At 49.9% G+C, this 23,840-nt stretch overlaps 2 protein-coding genes and 1 pseudogene across 5 annotated transcripts in view, besides 5 other annotated features; 2 read left to right on the plus strand and 1 right to left on the minus strand.

Moving 5' to 3' along the window:
• The window catches only part of SQSTM1 (sequestosome 1), a 31,686-nt gene extending 28,695 nt beyond the window's left edge, over window positions 1–2,991 (plus strand). For all 3 annotated transcript variants that reach the window (NM_001142298.2, NM_001142299.2, NM_003900.5), the window contains one exon: window positions 1,349–2,991. In NM_001142298.2, coding sequence (NP_001135770.1) covers window positions 1,349–1,506 — 158 coding nt within the window. In that variant the 3' untranslated portion in view covers window positions 1,507–2,991. The remainder of the gene's footprint in view (window positions 1–1,348) is intronic.
• Window positions 1,682–1,976: an enhancer, noted in NCBI's record as "tiled region #15558; HepG2 Activating DNase unmatched - State 17:Gen3', and K562 Activating DNase unmatched - State 14:Gen5'". NCBI's record gives its function as "activates a minimal TATA promoter and a strong SV40 promoter by Sharpr-MPRA in HepG2 and K562 cells {active_cell/tissue: HepG2 | K562}" and the evidence as "EXISTENCE:reporter gene assay evidence [ECO:0000049][PMID:27701403]".
• Window positions 1,758–1,907: an enhancer, noted in NCBI's record as "active region_23764". NCBI's record gives its function as "activates an Ori minimal core promoter by ATAC-STARR-seq in GM12878 lymphoblastoid cells {active_cell/tissue: GM12878}" and the evidence as "EXISTENCE:reporter gene assay evidence [ECO:0000049][PMID:35858748]".
• Window positions 2,189–23,730, minus strand: MRNIP (MRN complex interacting protein). 2 transcript variants are annotated; one of them, NM_016175.4, is made up of 7 exons: window positions 23,644–23,730; window positions 18,291–18,350; window positions 12,891–12,979; window positions 9,065–9,140; window positions 6,820–6,977; window positions 5,785–5,872; window positions 2,189–2,798 (listed from the first exon to the last, which is right to left on the minus strand). In NM_016175.4, exons 1-7 carry the CDS (start codon window positions 23,707–23,709, stop codon window positions 2,304–2,306), a joined length of 1,032 nt encoding a protein of 343 aa, NP_057259.2. In that variant the 5' UTR covers window positions 23,710–23,730; the 3' UTR covers window positions 2,189–2,303. The 2 variants fall into 2 exon arrangements, with proteins under 2 accessions (NP_057259.2, NP_001017987.1); NM_001017987.3 differs by lacking the exons at window positions 9,065–9,140; window positions 12,891–12,979.
• RN7SKP150 (RN7SK pseudogene 150) lies at window positions 10,745–10,981 on the plus strand (annotated as a pseudogene).
• Window positions 16,556–16,715: a silencer, noted in NCBI's record as "fragment chr5:179278643-179278802 (GRCh37/hg19 assembly coordinates)". NCBI's record gives its function as "represses an EF-1alpha promoter that drives an FKBP-Casp9 reporter gene in an ReSE screen in phorbol 12-myristate 13-acetate-treated (for megakaryocytic differentiation) K562 erythroleukemia cells {active_cell/tissue: K562(+PMA)}" and the evidence as "EXISTENCE:reporter gene assay evidence [ECO:0000049][PMID:32094911]".
• Window positions 17,258–17,307: an enhancer, noted in NCBI's record as "active region_23765". NCBI's record gives its function as "activates an Ori minimal core promoter by ATAC-STARR-seq in GM12878 lymphoblastoid cells {active_cell/tissue: GM12878}" and the evidence as "EXISTENCE:reporter gene assay evidence [ECO:0000049][PMID:35858748]".
• Window positions 23,152–23,261: a silencer, noted in NCBI's record as "silent region_16751". NCBI's record gives its function as "represses an Ori minimal core promoter by ATAC-STARR-seq in GM12878 lymphoblastoid cells {active_cell/tissue: GM12878}" and the evidence as "EXISTENCE:reporter gene assay evidence [ECO:0000049][PMID:35858748]".

Here is a 23,840-nt window from a genome sequence, read left to right on the forward strand (position 1 = left end):
GGGTCGCGGCCAGGCAGAGGCGCTCCTCACATCCCAGACAGGGCGGCGGGGCAGAGGCGCTCCCCACATCTCAGACGATGGGTGGCCGGGCAGAGACGCTCCTCACTTTCCAGACTGGGCAGCCAGGCAGAGGGGCTCCTCACATTCCAGACGATGGGCGGCCAGGCAGAGACGCTCCTCACTTCCCAGACGGGGTGGCGGCCGGGCAGAGGCTGCAATCTCGGCACTTTGGGAGGCTAAGGCAGGCAGCTGGGAGGTGGAGGTTGTAGCGAGCCGAGATCACGCCACTGCACTCCAGCCTGGGCACCATTGAGCACTGAGTGAACCAGACTCCGTCTGCAATCCCGGCACCTCGGGAGGCCGAGGCTGGCGGATCACTCGTGGTTAGGAGCTGGAGACCAGCCCGGCCAACACAGCGAAACCCCGTCTCCACCAAAAAAACACGAAAACCAGTCAGTCGTGGCGGCGCGCACCTGCAATCGCAGGCACTCGGCAGGCTGAGGCAAGAGAATCAGGCAGGGAGGTTGCAGTGAGCCGAGATGGCAGCAGTACAGTCCAGCTTTGGCTCGGCATCAGAGGGAGACCGTGGAGAAAGAGGGAGAGGGAAAGCTATATCATTCTTATGTCTTTGCATCATCATAGCTTAGCATCTACTCATAAGTGAGAACATATGATATTTGGTATCCATTCCTGAATTACTTTACTTAGGATAATGGCCTCCAGCTCCGTCCAAGTTGCTGCAAAAGGTATTATTTCGTTCCTTTTTGTGGCTGAGTAGTATTCCATGGTGTATATATACCACATTTTCTTTATCCACTCATTGCTTGATGGGCAGTTAGGTTGGTTCCACATCTTTGCAATTGTGAGTTGTGCTGCTCCAGATATCATCTTTAACTCCTTTGCCTTCTCCACATACATTTCCAAGTCCTGTTCATTCTACCTCCAAAATGTATCTTGTATCCATTCATCTCTCTCCATCTTCAATCTATTTCAATGCCCCATCATCTCTTGCATGGAGGAGTGTAATAATTGGCTAACTGGCCTGTTCTTACATTTTAAAATCAAAAGATGTGACAGGTGAAATGCCTATTTCAGTGTCCATTGATGGTTCTGCTTACACACCACCTGGCTGCCTGGTGTCGCAGTGGCAGAGTTGAGCAGTGTGAAAAAGACTGCTTGGCCCTTTACAGGGAAAGCAGGTCCACTGTGGCCTGTGAGGACGAGAGCTCTGGGCAGGCTCGGACACTGGCAGACCCTGGTCCTGGCTGGCCAAGGCAGCAGGGTATGTGTTTCGGGTCACTCACAGGGCTCAGCACCACTCCTCATGGCTTCCTTACTGTTTCGGCAGAGGCTGACCCGCGGCTGATTGAGTCCCTCTCCCAGATGCTGTCCATGGGCTTCTCTGATGAAGGCGGCTGGCTCACCAGGCTCCTGCAGACCAAGAACTATGACATCGGAGCGGCTCTGGACACCATCCAGTATTCAAAGCATCCCCCGCCGTTGTGACCACTTTTGCCCACCTCTTCTGCGTGCCCCTCTTCTGTCTCATAGTTGTGTTAAGCTTGCGTAGAATTGCAGGTCTCTGTACGGGCCAGTTTCTCTGCCTTCTTCCAGGATCAGGGGTTAGGGTGCAAGAAGCCATTTAGGGCAGCAAAACAAGTGACATGAAGGGAGGGTCCCTGTGTGTGTGTGTGCTGATGTTTCCTGGGTGCCCTGGCTCCTTGCAGCAGGGCTGGGCCTGCGAGACCCAAGGCTCACTGCAGCGCGCTCCTGACCCCTCCCTGCAGGGGCTACGTTAGCAGCCCAGCACATAGCTTGCCTAATGGCTTTCACTTTCTCTTTTGTTTTAAATGACTCATAGGTCCCTGACATTTAGTTGATTATTTTCTGCTACAGACCTGGTACACTCTGATTTTAGATAAAGTAAGCCTAGGTGTTGTCAGCAGGCAGGCTGGGGAGGCCAGTGTTGTGGGCTTCCTGCTGGGACTGAGAAGGCTCACGAAGGGCATCCGCAATGTTGGTTTCACTGAGAGCTGCCTCCTGGTCTCTTCACCACTGTAGTTCTCTCATTTCCAAACCATCAGCTGCTTTTAAAATAAGATCTCTTTGTAGCCATCCTGTTAAATTTGTAAACAATCTAATTAAATGGCATCAGCACTTTAACCAATGACGTTTGCATAGAGAGAAATGATTGACAGTAAGTTTATTGTTAATGGTTCTTACAGAGTATCTTTAAAAGTGCCTTAGGGGAACCCTGTCCCTCCTAACAAGTGTATCTCGATTAATAACCTGCCAGTCCCAGATCACACATCATCATCGAAGTCTTCCCCAGTTATAAAGAGGTCACATAGTCGTGTGGGTCGAGGATTCTGTGCCTCCAGGACCAGGGGCCCACCCTCTGCCCAGGGAGTCCTTGCGTCCCATGAGGTCTTCCCGCAAGGCCTCTCAGACCCAGATGTGACGGGGTGTGTGGCCCGAGGAAGCTGGACAGCGGCAGTGGGCCTGCTGAGGCCTTCTCTTGAGGCCTGTGCTCTGGGGGTCCCTTGCTTAGCCTGTGCTGGACCAGCTGGCCTGGGGTCCCTCTGAAGAGACCTTGGCTGCTCACTGTCCACATGTGAACTTTTTCTAGGTGGCAGGACAAATTGCGCCCATTTAGAGGATGTGGCTGTAACCTGCTGGATGGGACTCCATAGCTCCTTCCCAGGACCCCTCAGCTCCCCGGCACTGCAGTCTGCAGAGTTCTCCTGGAGGCAGGGGCTGCTGCCTTGTTTCACCTTCCATGTCAGGCCAGCCTGTCCCTGAAAGAGAAGATGGCCATGCCCTCCATGTGTAAGAACAATGCCAGGGCCCAGGAGGACCGCCTGCCCTGCCTGGGCCTTGGCTGGGCCTCTGGTTCTGACACTTTCTGCTGGAAGCTGTCAGGCTGGGACAGGCTTTGATTTTGAGGGTTAGCAAGACAAAGCAAATAAATGCCTTCCACCTCACCGCAAACCTTCTGCTAAATTGCATGACCAGGCTTTCCAAAAACAAGACATTCTCATGTCATCAGGTGATCCATCTCCTGGGGACCTTAGAATCAGGTTACCGGTGCCTACAAAAGAATTTTGAGCAGAAGGGCCTCGAGACATCGGGAAAGGGGTGCGCTGGCTCCATTCTGCTACCTCCCACCGGGGGGCAGCTCTCCAGAGCCTGCCGGGTTCTGCAGCTGCAGAGGTGGCAGCACCGAGCTCCCTGTGGGATAGGACTGGTGCTGGGGTCTGGCTTCTCTCACCCCAGGAACCAAAGATGCTCTGAAAGTTGGGTGTCGGCCGGGCGCAGTGGCTCACGCCTGTAATCCCAGCACTTTGGGAGGCCAAGGCAGGTAGATCACCTGAGGCCAGGAGTTCGAGATCAACCTGGCCAACATGGCGAAACCCTATCACTACTAAAAATACAAAAATTAACCTGGCGTGGTGGCACGCGCCTGTAATCTCAGCTACTCGGGAGGCTGAGGCAGGAGAATCACTTGAACCTGGGAGGCAGAGGTTGCAGTGAGCCGAAATCACGCCATTCCACTCCAGCCTAGGCAACAGAGCGAACTCTGTCTCAAAAAAAAGAAAGTTGGGTTGTAGGCTGGGAGCAGTGGCTCATGCCTGAATCCCAGCACTTTGGGAGGCTGAGGCAGGCAGATTGCTTGAGCCCAGGAGTTTGACACCAGTTTGGGCAACATGGTGAAACCCCCTCTTCTACAAAAAATTAGCCAACTGTGGTGGTGAGTGCCTGTGATCCCAGCTGCTCGGGAGGATCACTTAAGCCCGGGAGATGGAGGCTGCTATGAGGTGTGATTGTACCATTGCACTCCAGCCTAGGTGACAGAGTGACACCCCATCTCAAAAACAAAAGGCTGGGTGCAGTGGCTCATGCCTGTAATCCCAGTACTTTGGGAGGCCGAGGCGGGTGGATCACTTGAGGTCAGGAGTTCAAGACCAGCCTGGCCAACATGGGGAAGCCCTGTCTCTACTAAAAATACAAAAATTAGCCAGGCGTGGTGGCGGGTGCCTGTAATCCCAGCTACTCAGGAGGCTGAGGCAGGAGAATCGCTTGAACCTGGGAGGCGGAGGTTGCAGTGAGCCAAGATCGTGCCATTACACTCCAGCCAGGGGAACAAGAGTGAAACTCCTACTCAAAAAAAAAAAAAAAACAACAGTTGGGTTGTGCTGCTTACAAAGGGAAAAGCAATGTGAAAGCAGCGATAGAGTGGGTCCCTGCAGCACTGCCACCCAGGCAGTACAGAAGAGGCTCTGCGGCCCTGAAACTTGACGTTGGCTTTGCCACTGAACTTGCCATGACTGCACAAAAACTGCAAGCCTCAGTTCCTCACCTTTAAAACAAAGCAACAGGCTTGAGGGAGCATGAAACACAATGATACCATTACAACATGCAGCCCAGGGACTGGCCCGTGGCAGACTCTCTGGTCATTCTTCTAGGATTTGGAGATTCAAAGCCACTTACTTACCCAGGATCACAAAACTAGTTGGCGGCAACATCAAAGTTTGAATTCTGCTTCTTGGCATGAGCCAGTGCTCTGTGCGTGGTGCAAGGCCAGCGGAGACCGACCTTGGCTGATGTGGGGGTGGGGGCAGTGACTGACGCCCAGTGGACTCCCAACTGCAGTGCCCTTGCTGTGCCCTGGCTCCTCTGACAGGCAGAGCAAACCCTGCACTCTGCAGCACTGGATATGCGGTGGGGCCTGCTGGACTGGAAGCTTCAAGAACAAGACAAATGGGCCAGGCGCAGTGGCCCACACCTATAGTCCCAGCACTTTGGGAAGTGGGAAGATTGCTTGAGCTCAGGAGTTTGAGACAAGCCTGGGCAACATAGTGAGACCATGTCTCTAAAAAATTTTTTTTTTCTGTTGCCCAGGCTGGAGCGCAGTGATGCAATCTCAGCTCACTGCAACCTATGCCTCTCAGGTTCAAGCAATTCTCCTGCCTCAGCCTCTCGAGTGGCTGGGATTATAGGCGTGCACAACCACGCCCAGCTAATTATTTTTAGTAGAGATGGGGTTTCACCATGTTGGCCAGGCTGGTCTCAGACTCCTGACCTCAAGTGATCCACCCACCTCGGCCTCCCAAAGTGCTGAGATTACAGGTGTGAGCCACTGCGCCTGGCCTCTACAAAATATTTTTTAAAGATTAGCCAGTGTGGTGGTGTGCATCTGTGGTCCCAGCTACTTGGCGGCTGAGGCAGGAGGATCACTTGAGCCTGGGAGGTTGAGGCTTCAGTAGGCTATGACTGTGCCACTGCACTCCAGCCTGGGTAGACAGAGTGAGACCCTGTCTCAGAAAACAAAAAAGAACAAGACAACACCCTAAGTGAAGAGTGCCTCACATACAAGAGTCCACAGCAGGGCAAATGCGAGTGTGGAGGGAAGCATCTCCCAGGATTCAGGGCGGCCCGCTGACGACTCCTGCCCGGACAAAGGTCCCCGTGCTCCACGCAGAATGAGACGATGGCCCTGACCCATCGTCAGGTTGACCTGCTGGCCAACCTCAGTTTCTCCAAGGGTCACAATGCTCTTTGGTCCTGAGTTACCCTCATGGGAGACGAGAGGCATGGGAGGGAAAAGGGGGTACAGACCCGAGGAAGGAGTTGGCTTCAGACAGAAAAGACAAGAAACCCGGGTGGGAAGATGGGCTTTCTGCGGGTAGGAATCGCACACTTCGTCAACTGTGACAAAAGACAGAATTATCACACACACGCTCAGTGGTCACTGGGACCAGAGAGAAACTGTTTGTCACTGACCTTCTGGGGTCCCCAGGCGACCTCAGAGCCACCCGAGTCCTGCACGCCACGGCTGCACGGAGGCTGGACGGTGCTCCTGCTCCACTTCCTGTCAGGACAGGACCGTCAGTAGTCCCGTGCTACTCTCCAGTGGCACCCCGAGCCTGACTCCACGATCACATGGCCCACAGGCTCGGGTGGCCACCTGCTTGTTCCTACGGCTTCCCAGGCAGCTGCTCAGGGTGTCCAGCCACCGCCCAGGCCCCACTCCCCTGCTTCACAGCTTCTAGGTGCTAGAAAGTTTTGTTTTTATTTCAGTCAGGGTCTCACCGGCACCCAGGCTGGAGTGCAATGGCTCACTGCCGCCTTGACCTCCTGGGCTCAGGTGATCCTCCTGCCTCAGCCTCCCAAGTAGCTGGGACCACAGGCATGCACCACCATGCCCCATGAATTTGTTTTAAAAAATCTGTTGTACAGATAGGGTCTCCCTATGTTGCCCGGACTGGAGGATCAAATGATCCTCCTGCCTCAGCCTCCCAAAGTGCTGGGATTACAGGTGTGAGCCACTGTACCCGGATGAAGGTTCTGGTTTGAAAGCAGAATCTACCTCCTGAAAGCACCTGCCCTCTAAGAGCCTCCCTAGATCCTTAACCTAAAGCAGTCTCTCCAAAAATCTCACTGAAATGCCTGAAGCAGAAGAAAACTTCCTTCAAGTCTGAGGCCTCTGCTTCTCTGAGCTAAAAGCTCTTAGGCCTGCCAGCTACTCCGACCTCTCCCCTGGGGTCAGTACAGTCTGAGATGTTCAGAATTAAGTGGGCATCATAAAGGGTGTGCACACGGGTGTCCTGCCCAGCCTTCGCCTCTGCACCAGCAGTGCCCAATGCCCAGGTGGGCTGTGGGGCCAGCAGTGGCAGCAGCTGCCCGATTTCCCACCTGCTGGCACTTGCCACCTAGGCTTCCCGCGCTTGGCTGACGCTCACAGTGGCTCACTGGTGCCCCACTGCTGGAGGCAGCAGAGGCCCTGGGCCAGGGCTGGAACGGAGACGCACTTGGTACCTTTTTCTAGGCAGGTCTTGACTGAAGCGGGGGCCTGGCTCCTCCATTTTGGATGAAGGCTGTTTGCTGAAACACACTCCTGTTCCTTCCAGCTCCAGTTCTTGGGAGTCCTTTTCTAGATACTTCAGCCAGCGACTCTCTGAGGGCTGCGATTTTTCCTGCCAGATTGAGAAAAAAGTTGATTCTCAGTACTGGAAACCAGGCAGTTTTATCGAAAACCCCTAGCCCAACTCTTGGGCCTGAGGATCTCAGGAGTCATGTCCAGCTCCACTCTAGGAAAGGCACCGGCTGGAAGGTGATGGACGCCAATACTATGCAATGCTGGCAGGACAGTGCTCACTGGCACAGGCCTCGGGAAGGCGGCAGGGCACGGCCCACCAAGAGACTCATGAAAGTCTATGCTCCCTGGCCCAGTGATTCCACACAGAGAAGGCAGAGGTGCCAGTCCCAGTCTTATAAAAAATAGCAAATTTCATTTATAAGAACAGAAGTAGCCGGGCGCGGTGGCTCACACCTGTAATCCCAGCACCTTGGGAGGCCGAGGCTGGCGGATCACAAGGTCAGGAGATCGAGACCACCCTGGCCAATACGGTGAAACCCCGTCTCTACTAAAAAAAAAACAACAACAAAAAAAAAACAAAAAATTAGCCGGGCGTGATGGCAGGCACCTGTAGTCCCAGCTACTCAGGAGGCTGAGGCAGGAGAATGGTGTGAACCCGGGAGGCGGGGCCTGCAGTGAGCCGAGATGGTGCCATTACACTCCAGCCTGGGGGGCAGAGCGAGACTCCGTCTCAAAAAAAAAAAAAAAAAAAAAAAAAAAAAAAGAACAGAGGGGTGGAAACATGGCCAGGCGCGGTGGCTCACACCTGTAACCCTAGCACCGTGGGAGGCTGAGGCGGGCGGGTCACCTGAGCTCAGGAGTTCAAGACTAGCCTAGGCAACATGGTGAAACCCCGTCTCTACTAAAAATACAAAAATTAGCCGGGCGTGGTGGTGCGTGCCTGTAATCCCAGCTTCTTGGGAGGCTGAGGCAGGAGAATTGCTTGAACTCAGGAGGCAGAAGTTGCAGTGAGCTGAGATCACGCCACTGCACTCCGGCTGGGGGACACAGCGAGACTCTGTCGAAAGGAGGAAAGAAGGAAGGAAGGAAGGAAGGGAGGGAGGGAGGGAGGGAGGCAGGCAAGCAGGCAAGCAGAAGTGTGGAAACAACCTAAATGCCACATAATAAGGAATCAATACTGGTGCATCTACTACATTCTGTAAATACTTTTGTTTTTTGAGACGTTGGGGCTCCAGTGAGCAGCGATCATGCCTCCACACTCCAGCCTGGGTGACAGAGAGGGACCCTGTCTCAAAAATTAATAAATAAGAAATGAAAATCACTGAAAACTATACCGCAGCACAGAAGAATGATACAACTCAAAACTAGGATGCAAAAAAGTATTTCTGATGAGAATGATATAAAATTAAGTCTGTAAATGGACTGAATTGGAAGCACAGGCACAGGTACCAGAAGAGCATCTTCCTCTGCTTATAACAAAGTGTGAGTCTGGCCAGGTGCAGTGGTTCATGCCTGTAATCCCAGTACTTTGGGAGCTGAGGTGGGAAGATGGCCTGAGCCCAGGAGTTTGAGACCAGCCTAGACAACACAGGGAGACCCTGCCTCTACAAAAAAGAAAAAAAATTAGCTGGGCGTGGTAGGGCACAGTTGTAGTCCCAGTTACTCAGGAGCCTGAGGTGGGAGGATCACTTCAGCCCAGGAAGTCAAGGCTGCAGAGAACCATGATCGCGCCACTGCATTCCAGCCTGGGCGACAGAGTGAGACCTCGTTTCAGAGAAAAAAAACAAAACAAAACAAAACAACAGCTTGCAGTCTGGAACAAGGAAAGATGGAAACCCAGGTGTTTCACCCCATTATTCTTTCCCTCTCAGAGGTATGCCCAGAGTGCTGTGGGAGCAAAGTGGAAGCAGTATAAGGTGATATTTGAGCTACATTCAGGAGTTCTCCAAGCAGACAGAGGAGAGAGTCCTTTGCAGGGTATTGTAATGCTTGGTACACATGGCTGCCTCCATCCTTACAAAAGGTACAGGTTTATTTATTTTTGTGTTCCCTGCAGCTTTAAGCCAACTGCCTGTCATTGGGTGGCATCAACACACATTTGCTATAATGACTACTGGATACATCTGTGCATTCATCCCTTCCCTGACACAGAGCCAGCCTGGGGCAGGTGGGCCTGAGGCTTACCTGCTGCTTCACATTCCCAGCCTGCTGGTGTCCCACGTTTTCTTCTTCACTGGCACTGACAGTTTCTTCTAGAGACCTTCAGGGAAGACCATACATATGCCCTTTGAAAAATGACCAGGGGCTGGGCACAGTGGCTCACTCCTGTAATCCCAGCACTTTGGGAGGCTGAGGCAGGTGGATCACCTGAGGTCAGGAGTTCGAGACAAGTCTGACGAACACGGTGGTGCATACCTATATTCCCAGCTACTCAGGAGGCTGAGGCAGATAATGTTTGAACCCGGAAGGCAGAGGCTGCAGTGAGCCAAGATTGCTGGAAGATGGAATCACATGACAATGGAGATAAGTTGCAGCTTCAACCTCCCTGGGCTCAGGTGGATCCTCCCACCTCAGCCTCCTGAGTATCTGGGACCACAGGCACGCACCACTACGCCTGCCCTTTTTTTTTCTTCTTTTTATTGTAGAGACGGTTTTGCCATCTTGCCCAGGCTAGTCTCAAATTCCTGGGCTCAAGTGATCTACCCACCTCGGCCTCCCAAAGTGCTGGGATTACAAGCGTGAAGTACGCATCCAGCTGGTATTTGATTTTAAAAATCATTTTTCCAATTGTCCACTGCATATATATAGAAATACAATTTAATTTTGTATGTTGACCTTGTATTCTTGTGATCTTGCTAAATTATTAGTTCTAGTAGCTTTTTTGTAGATTCATTAGGATTTTCTACATACACAATCATGCTATTTGCAAATAAAATAATGCTTTTATCCAGTTTGGGATTTACTGTGTTTCCTTAATCTAAAAATGTTATGTCTTTGATTCTGGAAAATGCTGTGCTCTTATCTCTTCAGTTATTGCTTTTGCCCCATTCTCTTAATTATCTTTTGCTAGAACTCTCCTCTGTAACCTCCACGTCTCTCAACTTTCCCTTATATTTTCTACTTTTCCATTTTTCTGTGTTGCACTGTGAATAATTTTCTAGATTTATCTTCCATTTCACTAATTCTCTCTTCAGCTGCATTTAATCTGTTTAACGTGTCCACTGAATTTTTAATTTCTTCTTTTTTTTTTGAGATGGAGTCTCACTCTGTCACCCAGGCTGGTGTGCAGTGGCACAATCTTGGCTCACTGCAACCTCCGCCTCCTGGGTTCAAGTGATTTCCAGCTAATTTTTGTATTTTTAGTAGAGATGGGGTTTCACTATGTTGGCCAGGCTGGTCATGAACTCCTGACCTCAAGTGATCTGCCTGCCTTGGCCTCCCAAATTGCTAGGATTACAGGCATGAGCCACTGCACCCGGCCTGAAATGAATTTTTAATTTCAATGATTATACTTTTAAGTTCTACAAACTCTTTTATTTTTTAAAGACAGAGTCTCACTCTGGTGCAGGCCTCACTTGAGCCTGGGAGGCGGAGGTTGGCTAACTGCAACCTCTGCCTCCCAGGCTCAAGCGATTCTTATGCCTCAGCCTCCTGAGTAGCTGGGATTACAGGCATGTGCCACCACACCCAATTGACTTTTGTATTTTTAGTAAAGACAGGGTTTCACCATGTTGGCCAAGCTGGGCTTGAACTCCTGACCTCAAATAATCCGCCTGCCTTGGCCTCCCAAAGTGCTGGGATTATAGGTGTGAGCCACTGCACCCGGCCTCTTTTTGGTTCTTTTTCAAATACACCTATTTTTTTGGATGTGAGGGTGATGTGGCTGCACCATCTGTCACTCCATCAATCACCAGGGTTGGTTAGCTGATCTGGATGGCTAGGTGGTGTCCCCTTCTTCCCTCACCGCTCCATGTGCGTCCCTCCTGAAGCTGTGCGCTTGGTCGAAGAGGACGACCACCTCCAATAGAGGAGGAGCGGTCTTTGGTCCAGGGTATATGAGTAGCTGCACTCCCCTGCTAGAACCTCCAAAAAAGCTCTCAAATACACCTATTTTTTGAAGGCCCTCATCTTATCACCCACTTCTTTTATTGGATTAAATATATTAAACATGCAATATCATGTATTCTGAAGTCTTTATGGGTCTGACTTTTCTGACTGTTGATCTTTTGCTCCTGGTGGTGTATTTCCTTGAATGTTAAATGATTTTAAACTCCTGAGTATATTATGCTACTTGGAACTTTTTCTTTGGGGATTCTTTTTTTCTTTTTTTTTTTTGAGATGGAGTCTCACTCTATTGGCAGGCTGGAGTGCAGTGGCACCACCTCGGAACACTGCAGCCTCCGCCTCCCAGATTCAAGCAATTCTCCAGCCTCAGCCTCCCTAGTAGCTGGGATTACAGGCGCCCGCCACCACGCCCAGCTGATTTTGTATTTTTAGTAGAGACGGGATTTCATCGTATTGGCCAGGATGGTCTCGATCTCTTGACCTCATGATCCATCTGCCCCGGCCTCCCAGTGTGCTGGGATTACAGGGGTGAGCCACCACACCCGGCCTCTGTGGGAACTTTAAGGCCCAGCAATTGAAGATATATTGCTGCAAAGAGGAGCTCCATTTACCTCTGCTTCCTGGGACAATTAAAACATAAATTTTCTGCTTGAGGCTTTTCACACAGGGTATGTAAAAGGCTGAAAAACCATGCAACTACTTCCTTTTATTTCCAAAATCTTAGAGATATTTCCCCCTCTTCAGCCATTGCCAAGGTCAATACAGGCAAGCTGCCTGTTGCAGAGTGGATCTAGTTCATTTGTACACCGAGGGTGTAGTCCTCCGGGAGCTCAGTTTTGTTAGGAGGTGTCCTACTGGTCCGCCCACACTGCCGTAGGTTTTGTCTTCTGAGGGCCTCCTGCCCCTCTCCCAGCCGTCGAAATGGAGGCTCCAGAGCACCGGGCTTCAATCACCCCAGCAGCTCAGGTGCTTCCTCTCTGGATTTTGGCTTCTACATTTTTTTTTAAGCCAGTTAAACTTAGCAGTGGAGAGTTGTATACCAACGTTAGTGACACTAATGTTAATCAGTTCTCATAACCCACCACCATCAGACCCGCTTCTTCATTTTTGACCTCTGAGAGTTACTTACTTTTTTTTTTTTTTTTTTTTTTTTTTGAGATAGTCTCGTTCTGTCGCCCAGGCTGGAGCGCAATGGCGCGATCTCGGCTCACTGCAACCTCTGCCTCCTGGGGTCAAGTGATTCTCCTACCTCAGCCTCCTGAGTAGCTGGGATCACAGGCATGCAACATCATGCCAGGCTAATTTTTTTGTATTTTTAATATACACGGGGTTTCACCATGCTGGCCAGGCTGGTCTCGAACTCCTGACCTCGTGATCTGCCCGCCTTGGCCTCCTAAAGTGCTGGGACTACAAGCATGAGCCACTGCGCCTGGCCGAGAGTTACTTTCTTGTCAGCTCATCAGTGCATTTAAAATAGCTAGCATTTTTAGTTATTTTCAGTGGGAGAATTGCTCAGGGTGTTTGACTGCCATATTGTAAGACGTGGAAGTCTAAGGGACTTCTCCACTGACCCAGGCCCAGTGGGGTCTGTCCTACCAGGGCCTCTCTGGTGAGCCAGCCACAAACAAGAACAGCTGTGTCAAGAGCCTTCAGCTCTGGAGGCACAGAGCAATGGCCTGCCAGCTTTAAAAACCACAGGTCTGGACCTCATCACAGGTAATCAGGTGAGAATCTCCTCGGGTGAAGCTCAGCCCCAGTATTCTAAACATCCCCGGGGTCGGTTCTGAGGGCAGCTGCTGACCTCAGATGGCAAAGTGACAGCAGGGACCTGGGGCAGGTCCAGCCACAGCAGAGTGCCCAGCTCAGGATTTCCACTGTGTACTTCTATTATCCAGTCAAGACGAAAACAGGGCAAGACAACCACGCTCTTCTCAAACAACTGTACCTGAGTGGCAGCTCTGAAACTTGTCCCTGTAGTAGATTTAACTTTTGGACATGGCGTCTACAATCAGCACCAGAGCCTTCACCATAAGCCTGAGAAACCAAAAAATATATTACATTGAAAAAGTGCTGGCAGAATGCTGAGAAACAGATCCATTTGAGATGCACCTCAGGGAGGACAAAGCTGTATTCTGCAAGGCCCAAAGACCCCTAAAGCAGCATGCAGGAATCCTAATGACTGACGGCTGTCTCTAGAATGATTTACAAACCAACAGTCTCCGGAACTAATAGTTTACATCTATGTGGCTGTCCCACAATCACCCTGAACTCTACCTACTGAAGCCAAACTCAACCCAAAGCCCTACACAAAATGGTTAGTGCACATGAGTAAAAAGGTCACAAGAGAAGTAACACATATTGCCATATTGTATAACATACTGCCAAAAAATATATGAAATGATACTTACCTTCACTGATAATCAAAGGAATACAAAATAAAATACATTTTTTCCCACTTACCAGTCACAAATTCATCCAACAAATATTTATTGAATACCAACTGTGTGCCAGGCCTCATCTTGGGGTAGACAATACAGGAATGGACAAGACTCCCTGTCATCATGGAACTCACATTCAAGTGAGAAGAGACAGGAAAGAAACAAGTGAGCCATATAACCTATCAGATGCTAGTAAGTGCTCCTGAGAAAGACAAGGCCAGGAAAGAGGTCGTACATAAGAGCATACCGTTTTACATAAGGTGTTCAAAATGGTCAAGAAATGCATCTCTAAGAAGGTAACGTTTGAGCACAAACAGGAAGATATGAAGAAGCAACCCACATGGCTGTCTAGGGGAAGAACATTCCAGCAGAAGCAATACATGAGAATGAGTGTGAAGACCCTGAGCCTGAAATTTTGGAGGAACAGCAAAGAGGCCAGCATCGCTGGAGCTGAGGGGTCTAAGGGGAAGACGGTACGAGACGGAATTTGAGAGCATGGGTCCTGCTATGGCACAGGCAGATGGTACAAGACGGAATTTGAGACCATGGGTCCTGCTATGGCACAGGCAGATGGTACAAGATGGAATTTGAGAGTACGGGTCCTGCTATGGCACAGGCAGATGGTACGAGACGGAATTTGAGACCATGGGTCCTGCTATGGCACAGGCAGATGGTACAAGACGGAATTTGAGAGTACGGGTCCTGCTATGGCACAGGCAGATGGTACGAGACGGAATTTGAGACCATGGGTCCTGCTATGGCACAGGCAGATGGTACAAGATGGAATTTGAGAGTACGGGTCCTGCTATGGCACAGGCAGATGGTACGAGATGGAATTTGAGACCATGGGTCCTGCTATGGCACAGGCAGATGGTAAGAGATGGAATTTGTGACCATGGATCCTGCAATGACACAGGCAGATGGTAAGAGATGGAATTTGTGACCATGGGTCCTGCTATGGCACAGGCAGATGGTACGAGACGGAATTTGAGAGCATGGATCCTGCAATGACACAGGCAGATGGTAAGAGATGGAATTTGTGACCATGGGTCCTGCTATGGCACAGGCAGATGGTAAGAGATGGAATTTGTGACCATGGGTCCTGCTATGGCACAGGCAGATGCTACGAGACGGAATTTGAGAGCATGGATCCTGCAATGACACAGGCAGATGGTAAGAGATGGAATTTGTGACCATGGGTCCTGCTATGGCACAGGCAGATGGTAAGAAACAGAATTTGAGACCATGGGTCCTGCTATGGCACAGGCAGATGCTACGAGACGGAATTTGAGAGCATGGATCCTGCAATGACACAGGCAGATGGTAAGAGATGGAATTTGAGACCATGGGTCGTGCTATGGCACAGGCAGATGGTACGAGACGGAATTTGAGAGTACGGGTCCCGCTATGGCACAGGCAGATGGTACGAGACGGAATTTGAGGGCTCGGGTCCCGCTATCGCACAGGCAGATGGTACGGGATGGAATTTGAGAGTACGGGTCCCGCTATGGCACAGGTAGATGGTACGAGACGGAATTTGAGGGCTCAGGTCCCGCTATCGCACAGGCAGATGGTACGAGACGGGATTTGAGACCACGGGTCCTGCTATGGCACAGGCAGATGGTACGAGATGGAATTTGAGAGCATGAGTCCTGCTATGGCACAGGCAGATGTTAAGAGCCTGAATTTGAGATCCTGGGTCCTGCTATGGCACAGGCAGATGGTACAAGACGGAATTTGAGAGGATGCGTCCTGCTATGGCACAGGCAGATGGTACGAGATGGAATTTGAGAGCATGCGTCCTGCTATGGCACAGGCAGAATCAGCTTCAGGGTGTGACAGCCGCTCTGCTGTCGCCATCTTGAAATTCTTAACAGTCTGGCCTTTGAACCTGTGTTTTTTAAGTGAAGTGTGCTGGGACAATGGAGCACATCTGTGATCAGACACACACACTATACGTGTCCAGTGTTCCTCAACACCCCACTGGCAGGAGCATTCTTGATGTCCCGTGAGCACAGAATTCTGGTGGACTCCCAGTGCCTGGCAGCTAGTAAGTCAAGTGAGAACTGAGAACCAACCGTTGTTTTTAGCAACACAGAGACCACTGCTGACGCTGACAGAAGCAATTGTAATGGACACGTAGGGAGTGCAGTCCTGTTTGGAGCACATTCGCCTGAGAACGGAGAAGAGTAGCTGGAGGGGGAAATGGCAAAGACCAGGCTGGCATAACCAGTAGCGGTGTGCTCTTCCATAGGGCAGGGACTGCTGGATGGATACTGAAGCGCATTCTTCCCGAAAACTAGATGTCATTTTCCAGTGTGCGTGTGGTCAGGGGTGGCCACGAAACCAGCCTCTTTCCATGGCACTGTCACTTGCTTCCCAGCCTGGCCCTCAAAGCCTCTCGGTAGCTCCTCCAAGCACCTGCCCTTCTCAGTGGCTAGAAGCACAGTGGCTAGAAGCAGCTACAGATGAGCCTCAGGGAATAGAAGCAGCTCAAGATGGCAGGAGCTTGGATCCCTGAGCAACCACATCAAGGGCAGCGCCCTGCTGACCTTATCATCTTCCCAGGACTGTTATGAGAGCAAGAGAAACGTCTATTGTATTAAGCCACCACAATTTTGGTGTGTTTGTTACTGTGGCCTAGTCAGCCATACACCACATACCACACACAGCACAGAGGCATTGAGGGGAGTAAGAAGGCTTCCTCAAGGAGAATGTAGAAATATATACATCTCAAACAAGCCATGCTCACCATGTGGGGTGTCTGCCTACCTGGTAAGCCAGCCCCTCTCTTCTGAGACCCAATCCCAGTTGACTGGACCAGAGGTGGGCATCCGAGTCAGCCTGGGCCAACCAGGTTGCTTCTCCTAGGAATTTATAATTGAGACTCAGCTCTTCCAGTTGGCTTGGAATGAGATTCTATGGACTTGGAGCAGAGAATCTGACTGAACAGTCTGGGGAGAAACAGAAAGGGAAGGAGAGGAGAAAATAGAGTAAAGATATAGGGAGAAGCTGGGTGATGGGCAGGAAAAGCTGATGTCTGGCTTGTTGGCAGCTTTTCAGTTCTTGGGGCTAGTTTTTCAAGGGACCGGGGATGAAGTTCTGCCCTTGGATTCCCTAAGAGATCTCATTACCTTGCCAGCACTTTATTTATTTATTTATTTATTTTTTAACTTTGCTGAACCCATTCTGAAGTGTTTTTTTTCCCTTTTTTAAAAAAAATATCAGCCAGGCACGGTGGCTCACGCCTGTAACCCCAGCACTTTGGGAGGCCAAGGTGGGCAGATCACGAGGTCAGGAGATTGACACCATCCTGGCTAACATGGTGAAACCCCATCTCTACTAAAAATACAAAATATTAGCCGGGCGTGGTGGTGGGAGCCTGTGGTCCCAGCTACTCAGGAGGCTGAGGCAGGAGAATGGCGTAAACCCAGGGGGCGGAGCTTGCAGTGAGCGAGATCGCACCACTGCACTCCAGCCTGAGTGACAGAGCGAGACTCCGTCTAAAAAAAAATAAAAAAATAAAAAATATCAGGTGAAGGCACTCACCAACATTATGAAATGTTTTTGTCTACGGAGGCAGGTGGATCATTTGAGGTCAGGAGTTCAAGACCAGCCTGGCCAACATGGTGAAACCCCGTCTCTATTAAACATACAAAAAACAAATTAGCTGGGTGTGGTGGCATGCATCTGTAGTCCCAGATACTCAGGAGGCTGAGGCAGGAAAACTGCTTAAACCCGGGAGGCGAAGGTTGCAGTGAGCCGAGATTGCGCCACTGCACTCCAGCCTGCATGACAGAGAGAGACTCCATGTCAAAAAAAAAAAAAACCCCAAAAAACAGCAATTTAACTTTTAGGACTTTGTCCTAAGTAAACAGTAAACAGCTGGTCACGTGGATAAAGAGGTTTTTGTGAAAAGCTTCACGGTAGAGTTGTGCATAACAGTCAAAAGGGAAATCAACCTAAATGCCCAACAAGGTTGGGCCAGTTCCTTACTCACTCCACAAACACCGAGCACTGTGCTAGGTGCTGCGGATACACCAGCAAATAAAAAGCCTCTGTTCTCACGGAACTTACAGCCTTAGATGGACAATCCGTGCATAAACACATGACTATGTAACTTCCATAGGATACTGAGAAGAGGGAGGGGAACTCCACAGTGAGCACAAAGGCCTGAAGAGGGAGCAAATTTGGGTTTAAGGTCAGAAAGAAAGCACATGGCTGTAGAAGGAGAGGAAAGATGAGAGGTGAAGGGAGAGGTGGCACTGGGGCTGGAGCAGGAAAAGAGCAAGTTCAGTAAGGCAAAGGATGCAGGACAGTTTGGGGTCCTAGAGTTCAGGAGGGGCAATACGGATGGACTGAAAAGACGTACTGAATGCCAGCTGCAAACAGCTGGATGAGAGCATTTACAGCCTGCCCCTGCCTGCCTCCACTTCCTGAGCCCACTATCCCACACCTCCACCTCCACCAACGGCCTCTGCCCTTCCCCGGCTGCCCTGATTCCTCTGTCATCTTCTCACAGTCCCCAGTGCTTTCCTTTCCTTGTGCTCAGCCGAGTTTTAAATTATGCAGATGCATGTGTGCATTAGTTTCTCTTCCCCTTCCACACAAGTGCATCTGTGAGGGCAAGAATGACAATGGGCTTACTTTCCACTGTTCCCCTTGTGCTTGGCACACAGAAAGTACTCAAGAAATACTTGCTGAATGAAGAATCAAATGGCAGTACCTTTCCAGATTCTGCTCCATCCATTTCACTTCCTGAAGGAACAGGAAGCTCGGAAGCAGGAGCTCCGTGTCTGGGGAACTCTGTTTGAGAGAGGATGATCCCAGCTGTGGCATGCTGGGACTCCCTGGAAGGGCTCGCTGCAGGCCTGCGCCCCACTTGCTTTCTGTTTTGTAGGACTCACCTGCAAAAAGGACTGCTTCTCTCCACAAGCTTTGCATGTCCACTTGACACTCTTTTTTACCTGCAATGAAATTTCAGAAATACAACTCAGATAATTATTTAAAACAAAATGGAATTGGGCTGGACTCGGTGGCTCATGCCTGTAATCCCCCTTTGGGAGGCCGAGGCGGGCAGATCACAAGGTCAGGAGTTCGAGACCAGCCTGACCAATATGGTGAAACCCAGTCTCTACTAAAAATACAAAAATTAGCCAGGCATGGTGGCGGGCACCTGTAATCCCAGCTACTCAGGAGGCTGAGACAGGAGAATCGCTTAAACCTGGGAGGTGGAGGTTGCAGTGAGCCAAGATTGCACCACTGCACTCCAGCCTACACGACAGGGTGAGACTCCATCTCAAAAAAACAAACAAACAAACAAAAAACAAATGGAATTGGATCTGAAATTTTTTTTTTTTAAATCCCAAGTAGCTGGGATTACAGGTGTGTACCACCACGCCCAGCTAATTTTTGTATTTTAGTAGAGATGGGGTTTCACCATGTTGACCAGGCTGTTCTCAAACTCCTGACCTCAAGTGATCCACCTGCCTTGGCCTCCCACAGTGCTGGGATTACAGGTGTGAGCCACCATGCCTGGCCTGAAATAATTTTTTTTTTTTTTTTTTTGAGACAGAGTCTGGCTCTGCTGCCCAGGCTGGAGTGCAGCGGCGCAATCTCGGCTCACTGCAAGCTCCCCCTCCCGGGTTCACGCCATTCTCCTGTGTCAGCCTCCCGAGTAGCTGGGACTACAGGTGCCCGCCACCACGCCTGGCTAATTTTTTGTATTTTTAGTAGAGACGGGGTTTCACCGTGTTGGCCAGGATGGTCTCGATCTCCTGACCTGGTGATCCACCCGCCTCGGCCTCCCAAAGTGCTGGGATTACAGGCGTGAGCCACCAGGGCTGGATCTGGCCTGAAATAATTTTAAAAACTGATGGAAGGAGTCCAGAAACAAACCAAAGCATGTGTAAACATTTAGCGTATCATAATCATAAAGGTGGTACTTTAAAAGTGAGAAAAGAACAGACTATTTAACAAGTCCGGGTTGGTGCTGGGAAAACTGGCTATCTGTATGAAACACAATCAAATTGGGCTGGGCACAGTGGCTTGAGCCTGTAGTCTCAGCGACGAGGGAGGCCAAGACTACTCGAGCCCAGGAGTTTGAGGCCAGCCCGGGTAGCATGGCAAGAGGCTGTCTCACAAAACCAAATCCAAACAAAACAAAACCACTCTGAAAGACCCAAATTGAAGCTGTAAAAAAAAATTCCATAATATTCCTGTCTCGCAAAACCAAATCCAAACAAAACAAAAACACTCCGTAAGACTCAAATTGAAGCTGTAAAAAAAATTCCATAATATTTAAATTCTTGTTAAACTTGGGTCTAAAAAAAATTCCGTAACATTTATTTTCAATTCTTGTTAAACCTGACTAGATGTGTTCTCTCTTAACATATAAAATGCCTAAAACCCACTCTAATGCTGGAGAATCTTTACCAGCATTCCACATGGAAGTCAAGAACAAGCCAGGGTTGCCCGCTATTATTTACCATTTTTTTCTGGATGTACTAGCCAATGGAATTAGAAGAAAGTTGTAAGATGTATAAAAATTATAAAGGAGCGGAAAACCCTATCATTATTTATAGACATAATTATAATACCTGAAATAACTCCTGACCTCAAATGATCTGCAGACCTCGGCCTCCCAAAGAAAAGCCAATTTTTTAATTTTAATTTTAATTTTAATTTTTTTGAGACGGAGTTTCGCTCTTATTGCCCAGGCTGGAGTGCAATGGTGAGATCTCGGCTTAGTGCAACCTCCACCTCCCAGGTTCAAGAGATTCTCCTGCCTCAGTCTCCCAAGTAGCTGGGATTACAGGCACGTGCCACCACGCCCGGCTAACTTTGTGGTTTTAGCAGAGACAGGGTTTCATCATGTTGGTCAGGCTGGTCTCGAACTCCTGACCTCAAGTGACCCACCCAAAGTGCTGGGATTAAAGGCATGAACCACCAGCCCGGCTGCTACCTGACATAATTTTTTATCCGAAAACCAACATAATGAAATGAGAAGCCACTAAAACCAGATAGTCTAATACAGTGGTTAGGTACAAAATTAAGATACCTTCAAAAATTAATATAGCTTTTATATGAGCAGACATCTAATTAGAACACATAATTGATAAAGAGTCCATTTATAACAGCAACAAATAAAATGTTACCAAGGGATACCAAGGTTACTTGAAGAAACGTAATGGATCATGTTTAACACCACAAAGATGTCTAGGTTGATCCATTAACATTAATACGATTAATATGATCCTAATACAAAATCATGAGGTTTTCGGGGGAAGTATCCAAAAGGATTCTAAGGAGGACAATGAGCACCTACCAAAAATTGAACTGGGTAATGACTTAGCAATTTTACTTCTCAGCTTCTACCTTAAAACACCAATAAAACTGTGGATTTTCTATGAGTATATAAACAAGTAAGAAAAGTTGTTTTTTTTTTTTTTTTTTTGAGACAGAGTCTGGCTCTGTTGCCCAGGCTGGAGCACTGTGGCGTGATCTCGGCTCACTGCAACCTCTGCCTCCTGGATTCAAGTGATTCTCCTGCCTCAGCCTCCCAAGTAGCTGCGATTACAGGTGCCCGCCACCACGACCTGTATTTTTTGTATTTTTAGTAGAGACGGGGTTTCACAACATTGCCCAGGCTGGTCTCGAACTCCTGACCTCATGATCTGCCCCCCTCGGCCTCCCAAAGTGCTGGGATTACAGGTGTGAGCCACCGCACCCGGCCAAGAAAAGCCTTTTTAAAAGTTTAGGACTCACAGAACCTGGTAAAGGAATTAATTGTGGGAACTGCTGAGATAGTATGGTTCTGCCACTCCCTAGATGGAGAAACCACTTGATTCCCGTGTATTTCGGAATTCTCATGTCTCTAAGATGGGAATGATGCCTAAGTCAAAGGTTGTTGAAGTTAAACGTGTTAAAGTAGTACACAGCCGACTTGCAATTAAAATTAAAGTAGTACATAGCCGACTTGCCGTCCTCTTTGGTTTCAAGTAATTTTTCTTTGTTTTTGAGACAGGGTCTGGCTGTCGCCCAGGCTGGAGTGCAGTGGTGTGAACACGGCTCACTGCAACCTCTACCTCCTGGACTGAAGCGATTCTCCTGCCTCAGCGACCCTGAGTAGCTAGGACTACAGATGCGCGCCACTACATCTAGCTATTTTATTTTGAATTTTAGTAGAGACAAGGTCTCGCTACGTTGCCCAGGCTGCTCTGGAACTTCTGAGCTCAAGTGATCTGCCCTAGTGGGCTTCCCAAAGTGCTGAGATTATGGGCGTGAGCCACCGGGGCCAAGCAACTCACATTTCATAAGGTTGAAAATGACCACGAGGGTCAGGGGCGCTGGCTCACACCCGTAGTCCCGGCACTTTGGGAGCTAAGGCGGGAAGAACACTTGAGCCCAGGAGTTCCAGACCAGCCTGGGCAACACGGCCGAAACCTCATTCCTACAAAAAATATAAAAATTAGCTGGGGATGGTGGCCCACACCTGTAGTACCAGCTACGTGGGAGGCTGAGGTGGATCAGCTGAGCCCGGGAGATGCAGGTTGCAGCGAGCTGTGATTGTTACCACTGCACTCCAATCTGGGCGACAAAGCGAGACCTTGTCTCAAAATAAATAAGTAAATAAATAAATAAATAACACTGGTGAACATGGAAGAGTGAAACAGGAAAACAAACAAGGAAATAGAGGCCGGGCGCAGTGGCTCACACCCGTAACACCAGCACTGTAATCCCAGCACTTTCGGAGGCCGAGGCGGGCAGATCACGAGGTCAAGAGATGGAGACCTTCCTGGTCAACATGGTGAAACCCCGTCTCTACTAAAAATACAAAAATTAACTGGGCTTGGTGGCGCGCGCCTGTAATCCAAGCTATTCGGGAGGCTGAAGCAGGAGAATCGCTTGAACCCAGGAGGCGGAGGTTGCAGTGAGCCGAGATCACGCTACTGCACTCCAGCCTGGCGACAGAGTGAGACGTGAGACTCTGTCTCAAAAACAAAAAAAGGAAATAAAAATAAACGGAAAATTTGTTTTTAAAAAACAGCATGAAACATTAGACGTGGAATAATTTAAAAATGCAAATGATCTCCCTTTATTTGCAACTCTTAGGACCCAGCTCCCGAAAGAAAATAAGTAAAAAGTTTCTGAGCCCTTAAAATGGCCCTTACAAACGCTTAGCATTAAATGCAAGCTTACAGACACATACTCAGCATCTTGCTGACTTTTTAACATACCTCTTAAACAAGTCTGATCCACGCCGGGCACAATGGCTCTCGCCTGTAATCCCAGCACTTTGGGAGGCCGAGGCAGGCGGGTCACCTGAGGTCAGGAGTTCGAGACCGGCCTGACCAACATGGAGAAACCCTGTCTCTATTAAAAACACAAAATTAGCTGGGCATGGTGGCGCATGCCTGTAATCCAGCTACTCGGGAGGCTGAGGCAGGAGAATTGCTTGAACCTGGGAGGCGGAGGTTGCGGTGAGCCGAGATCGCGCCATTGCACTCCAGCCTGGGCAACAAGAGCGAAACTCCGTCTCAAAAAAAAAAAAAAAAGAAGAAGAAGTCTGATGCTATTCTTTCTCAGGGCATAGCAGATTACCAATAATTAGGAGGGAGGGACTATCAGAAGCAGATACGGTGACTGCAGTGTTAAGTGATATCAAGCAGGGAGACAGGTGCGATCCGGAAAAGGTTAAGTGGCATTCTCTATCTGGCACGCTGAAAGTTAGGGAGGCAAATATGTCCTAGAAACACAGATTATCTGTCTTTAAGACTCCGGGGCCCGTGGTTTATGCGTCGGCGAACAGCCATATCAAGTCCCTGGCCCCGCGGAAACGGACGGCGGCAGAGGCGCGGGGCGACGGAGAGGGCGCCCAGGTGTGGAGCAGGGACGCCGCCGCGGCGCGCTCGGTCTCTAAGAACCGTCCTCCCCCTCTCACTGAAACTGCGACAGCGCTACTTCGTGGGGTAGGCTCTGCGTAAAGGATGCTATACTCAACCGGATTCTCCCACTACCTGCTACAATTCACAAGAGGCCACCTCCGCAGAACCATTACCTCTGGTTTGTACAAGAACCAAACAAAAAGCTCAGAACGTTATGCGGGGGCGACCCCAATGAGACCCGCCCTCAGCGGTCCCTGCACTCCTTCGGGCCCGGTGCATCCCGGAGCCATTCGAGACAACACCCACAGCCCCGCCACTCCCCGTCCGCTGTCCCCGCGCCGGAGGAGGAGGAGGGGGCTGGCACCCGCCAGACCTGGTGCGCCTGGAAGAGGCGGCAGCTGCAGCAGCGTAGCACCCGAGAACGCTGAAGCGACGCCATCCCTGCTTGTGCAGTCGCCAGGCAGCCAAGCGCGTGCGCTCTGCATTTGTCCCGCCGCGGCCCCGCCCCACGCACGCGCTCCGAACCCTCTAGTCCCCTACGCCGTCTCGCATGCGCTTATACTCTTCGCT

This window comes from Homo sapiens, chromosome 5, assembly GCF_000001405.40.
Source record: "Homo sapiens chromosome 5, GRCh38.p14 Primary Assembly".
Lineage (NCBI taxonomy): Eukaryota > Metazoa > Chordata > Mammalia > Primates > Hominidae > Homo > Homo sapiens.